The sequence below is a fragment of the Homo sapiens genome, chromosome 1 (assembly GCF_000001405.40).
Source record: "Homo sapiens chromosome 1, GRCh38.p14 Primary Assembly".
NCBI classification, from domain to species: domain Eukaryota; kingdom Metazoa; phylum Chordata; class Mammalia; order Primates; family Hominidae; genus Homo; species Homo sapiens.
The window spans coordinates 110646479-110652745 of NC_000001.11; positions in this window are offsets into that span (position 1 = coordinate 110646479).

Genomic DNA, 6267 nt, shown 5'->3' on the forward strand with positions numbered 1-6267 from the left:
AAAAAGACCCACAGATCAAGATATGTTGACATCAGTGGAGGGGGAATTGCCCTTTTAGTGGCACCTTCAGCCTTTGCAGATGCCAATTCAATCAACCAGTAACAACTCAGATGGGAGATGGGAGAGTGTGGCTAAGATGGACAAGAATACACTTTCAAAATGCAAAGCTTTTCTGCAGCATTAGGGGTCATGGAGATGTTAAAAGACTTTTCAAATAGCAACTACACAATAGGATTCCAGATTAAAGGCTCCTCAGTTGACAGATAACCAGTGGGAAAAGATGAAATGAGAATTATCTGAGAATTGCTATCATAACCTATCCTTAAAACAGAAGAGCTTTGTTCCTTTTAAGCTCATGGGAGCATGTTATAGTAGCAGCCTTATAATTTGTCACTGAATAAATCACCAACACCAAGTTACATTAATTATATCTTACTCTTTAGCTCCCTAAATTTCTCCTTAATAGACCTAAAGGAATTATGATGAATAAGGATTGAGACCATTTGCAACCTTTGGAGTTAGTGGTTTGCTTTCCAATAATTGACATTTTTATCTATTAATGCAGTTAGGAAAATTCATGTTTTCAGTTTTGGTAAGAATTTTGCCTAGAATTATCAGCAATGAAAATCTTACTCTAAGTTAGTCAATTGTTCTTGATGATTATAATGATCTAAAGTTTGATGCCCACAGCCTTGTGTATGTTAATTTCCAGTAGATTCCGTAAGAATGAGAGAATGTGTGTATGTTTTTGAACTGGAAGACATTCTGACCGGGATCTACAGAGATATAAATGGGCAAATCCAGTACAGTTTAAACACAGGAGTTCTTATCTGAGTGGAATACTTCAGAGGGTTGGAGATTGAAGTAGCCCTCTGATGAAGTCTGGAAACTACTGGAAATGTTTAAATACTGTGGTTTAAAATTACACTTGAGATAAAATCTGATTTCCTGTTTCTAAGTCAAAAAGCTTACAATAAGGACCTTGAAGTTTCCTGGAATAATAAACAACACTTCTAAAACGGCAACTGGATGAGGTAAGTGTGGTTGACTAGAAAGTACAGATTAATTTTCTCAACACTACTCATGTTTCAAAATTAAGAGGGAAAATTTCCAAGAGAGAGACATATTTGAGGTCATGTTGAACCCAAAATAGTTTTAAGTGCTGCAATAGTTTGAAACGTTTTTAAGGGTTTTCCACTGCTGAGACAATTAGCTAGTTTCCTCAGACTGCATTTGTTTTACCAATCTAGTGTTGAGAGCCTCTTAACAGTGGTATATCAATGTGCAACATTTCTTGCAACTTATAAAAGATAAGTAGACCGGCACCGGCTACAAGGAGCTAGAAACCCTTCCCCATCTCATTGGCCTCGCTTAGTCCTTCCTACTTAGTCATCAAGCCTAAATCCCTCTCTTATTTCCTGAAGGCCCCTGAGCTAAGTTAATTTTATCTTCCTTCTTTCTCATAGTTCCCTGAGCCTACCTGGTATAGAACTTGTCACTGTTCCATAATCATAGGTGTTCTCATTTCCCACTATTTCTATGAGATATTTGAGGATAGAAGTTACATCTTCTCAGTGTCTTATTTATTCAACAAATGTTTATTGAGCATCCGCTATATACCAAGCGCTGTGAATACAGAGATTACAAGGACACAGAGTCAGCTCTCAAGTTACTCACAGTTTTATAAAAGAAACAAAAGAGTAGATGGTTATATTTTGTGTCAAGTTCTTTGATGGAGGGCTCTTGATATAAAATATCAGATAGATACTTAACTGAAATCTTCCTGGAGAAAATGTAAGTCTTGGAAGATAAGTAGCTATCATCCAGCTGAGTAGAAGAACAATGTGGGTGAGTGAAGTGGGGAAGAAAAATAAAGTTGTGATGATATTTCTGGGCAGAGAGATCAGCAAATGTGAAGGTATATGGGGGGGCATACTGTATATAAGGGATTCACAGTAATTCAGGGTGACTGGAGCAGGGAGGACATACTGGAGAGTGATAATTGATGAAATTAGAAAGGTAGACAGAAGCTGGACCGTGAAGGTCCTTGGATGTCATACTAAAAGGTTTAGGCTTTATTCTAAAAGGATAAAGGAGGAGTCATTGAAGTACTTTAGCTGTGAGAGTTATTAGCATATTTGTGACTCAGAGATCACTTCGTCTGCAGTATGAAAAATTCACAAGACTACTCTAGTAACATAGGCAAGAAATCATAAGATACAAAAATAATTCAGAGGTGAAGAAGGCAGCTAAAGTTGCATCAAGAATTTAATAGCTGTGAAGAGTGAGGGAGAAGTTTGAGATTAGTTGGTCCCCAGATTTCCAAACAGTAGCATTAAGGAGAGGTGGTTTGATTACCAAAGACAAGAAATACAGTTGGGATGACATTGCTGAGTGTGGGAAATGAGTTGTTCTGTCTTGGACATGTTGGGTTTGAGGTATCATGAATAGTTTCGAGACCATCCAAAAGGATATTTATGGCAAAGAGATTGGTACACAAAAGATAAGTTGTCTGTGTGGGTCAGAAGACTCCATCAAGCTGGCTAATGCAATCATGGCTTGTTGGAGGGTTTAGAAGAATCTCATAGAACCCAGTGACAGGGAGTAGAGTTGGGCCTCCCATGTGTTGGAAAACAGTCTGTAGCTACTTTTGATCTTTCACTGGGGCAGTGTGATTGTTTTGCTTTGTGTTTCATTCTTCTCCTTGCTTCTCTGCTAGGCTTAGTTACTACTTCACCAGAATATAAATTACATGGACTTAGGATTGTTATGATGCTGACTTTGGCTCAACTTGCTAAAACATCATAGCTCTTCGCCTAATTGTTTCTACTTCTAACTCCCCAAGTTTCAATCAAAATTCCAAGGAGAGAGAATCACCTGGCCCAGTTGAGTTAGGTGACCACCTGTGGACAGAGAATGGGCTGACATGGGTTTTAGGATTGTCCCTTCTAGATTATGGGTTGGCAGGTTCAAAGGTAAACAGGGCAGAAATGATTGGCTGAGAAGGTGACTGGTACCTGAAATATGGTAAGACTAGCACTCAGGTTGTAGCTCTGGGCTGGAGATAAAAATCTGTGGAAGTAGTTAAAACTAGGATATTGGATGAGATTACCTAGGGAAAGTGTTGACTCAGAAAAAGTGAGGCTTGAGATCAGAATCTTGGGGAGCAGCAGTATTTAAAAAGTGATAAGAGAAAGAAAAGTCAGTGAAGGTGACTGAGAGAAAATGTCACAAAAGCCAAGAAGGAGGGAGGGATCAACAGTGTCAAATTCTACAGAGTTGGTGAGGTTGACAATTGATGTATGAGAAAGAAACTAGTATTAAGGAAATGTTCAGTGTAGAAGTGGAGACCAAAGCCAGATTACAGAGGAATAACACTGTAGCCGAAAGTCAAATAAATGAGGGGTCAGGAAGTAGAGACAACTTCTTATTAAGAAGTTTGGCTTTGAGTGGAAGGGGGCAAATAGAGCTAACAATGGTCAAGGAAACATATTCACCGATCATAGATTCTGAGGTGGGGACACACTGAGGATAAGGAAAAGGCAGATGTTATTTAATACAGTCAAGTTCTGGAGGAGGTTGAACAGGATGGACTGGAGCTCCAGAGATTGGGAAAACTTTTCCACTGAAGTGAGAAGGAGAAATACTCGAATATTTTTGAAAGAATAAATGAATAGACAAAGGGAATGATGGTTGACTCAGTCTGAAGAGCTTGGATTTTTATTTATCTTGGTGTCTCACTTTAAGGTAAGGGGATTGGATCTTGAGGCTTGCTGAGGCAGGACTAGGCTCGCCAATGTGAACAAAGTATAAGACAAATACAACGACAAGGGCTTTCTTCTGCTCTTCTTTAAGATTTTCTGATAATAATGCTCTCAGTTTCTTCACTTCTTAGGGAAGTCAGAATTTGAGATAAGTGGGGTGATGGGGGGGTGGAAATGTGACTATACAAAAAGAACTGCAGATGAGGAGGCAGAAAACCTTGTATTCTAGTCACTTTCTGACATTTACTGACCACATGACCTTAGGTAAATTGCATAACTGTGCATCCAGTTTCTTCTTTTATAAAAAGCATGTGATACTACCTTCTCTGCCTATTTCAGAGAATATATATACTTTATATATTTAAGTATATAGAGTTGCTTTGAACTATATATGCATAAAATATTGTAAATATTAGAAAGCACAGTACAGATATAATGCCCCATTAATGTATATTCCAGACATTCTGAGAATGTGGGTTGCCTCTGAGGGGTGCCCTGTAGAGCTGTCTAATCTTGTCTAACTATACATACATGTATGGCATGCCCCTGGAGTTCTGTTTGCTAGTTTTTTTCTTGGCTATTACACATGCTGAGAGCTTGGCCTGATAGTGCAGAGATTACTACTGGCGTGGAAAGTGCCTGCAGGGAGCAGCATATTAAAATCACAAATTCAATACTTTCTCGAGACTAGGACATACAAAGTTAAAATAGCCTTATAAATTGCCTCCAGGAATAAAGGCAAAAATTAACTCTACCTCAAAAATTTTCATCCACATTTATGAATGTCACTTTCCTCTCTCTTATTTCCATCTCTATTGCCACAAATTAAGACAAAACACAAACATTTTCCTCTGCAGAATTCCTCAGCTTCTCTATAGAGGTAAATGAAAACTAGACTTAAGATATATTTATCATCGATTATTCAGGATTCCAGATTCCTATTAGGCCCTCTGACTAACTTACATCATGCTGTCTCTGATTACTTTTAGATTCAGGTTATATGGAAACAACTGTCTGTTTTCATGGCTGGCATAATGGGTATAAACTAGTAATACATGGCATCTACATTGTAAAATTTAATGAATAGTGCCTATGAATCCATTTGTGTTCTTCACCTTCATTTAGAAGCATTTATTATGCCAAATCAAACCAGGCATGGGTGAGGGACTGTGCCACATTTATTCATTTCCTTGTCAATTGTGTGTTTTGAAATCAGATTTCTATTTGTTCCTTCTCTTGTGGCTCCATTTCCTAAAAAATTACTTCACTGACCTTACGTTTTAAGACAGTATTGTCCCTGGAATTTTAGCTCCTCATTTGGCTTTTCTAATTCAATGATATAGTCTCCTCCTCTATGACTCAAGTTACCAGATATCGCCAAATGTAAAAAGGATTTTCTGAAACAAAATAACCAATTTGATTGTGATTAATGAAACCTATAAACAGTAGATCTAAGGGAGAGAAAGTTACAAGATTTATAAGGGTTTTGGTACAAAGTACAGAAAAGTGAATGGACGATTGAGTGGGTCCTAACTCATAGGAGGTGTGCAGCAGTAATTGTGTACTAATTTGTCTCTGTTGAAATCCAGCAGAAAGGTGTGAATTCTTTTGGATAGAGGCATGGTTCAAAGACGATATAGGTAATCCCTTGGAAACAACCTGCATCTCTTAATTTACTCTGTGATTGTTTCCAAAAGACTTAAAGATTTGGTCCCTTAAAATGAAATACTTTAGGCCTGGCATGGTGGCTCATGCCTGTAATCCCAGCACTTTGGGAGGCTCCGGTGGGCGGATCACCTGAGGTCAGAAGATTGAGACCAGCCTGGCCAACATGGTAAAATCCCATCTCTACTAAATATACAAAAATTAGCTGGGTGTGGTGGCACATGCCTGCAGTCCCAGCTACTCGGAGGCTGAGGAAGGAGAATCGCTTGATCATGGGAGACGGAGGTTGCAGTGAGCCAAGATCATGCCACTGCACTCCAGCTTGGGCAACAGAGCAAGACTCTGTCTCAAAAAGAAAAAAACAAAACAAAACAAAACAAAACAAAAACTTTACAAATAGTCACTAATGGAGTTCACCACCAAAATTCTATGACAAGAAAGCTTAAAAAGTCATTTCTCATATCAATTGGAGGATTAGAAAAATATGTTTTGTTCTTGTCTCTAATAGCTAACACCACATGTGTAAAGCCATCTAAATCTACACTTAGTTTTTTTAGACAAAGTAAAATTCCAGATGGAAACAAGAGAGAGGGCCTCTGTTTTGGTGATGTATCATTTGTTGACATTCCAAAAGTAAAAACACGTTTGAGTAACTAGCTATTATTAGGAAAAAGAAAAAGAGTAAGGATCAATATTGCTAAGCACAAAATGAGAACAATTGGTATGTAAAATGTGAATGCTAGAAATTATCCAAGAGAGAGGGCCTCTGTTTTGGTGATGTATCATTTGTTGACATTCCAAAAGTAAAAACACGTTTGAGTAACTAGCTATTATTAGG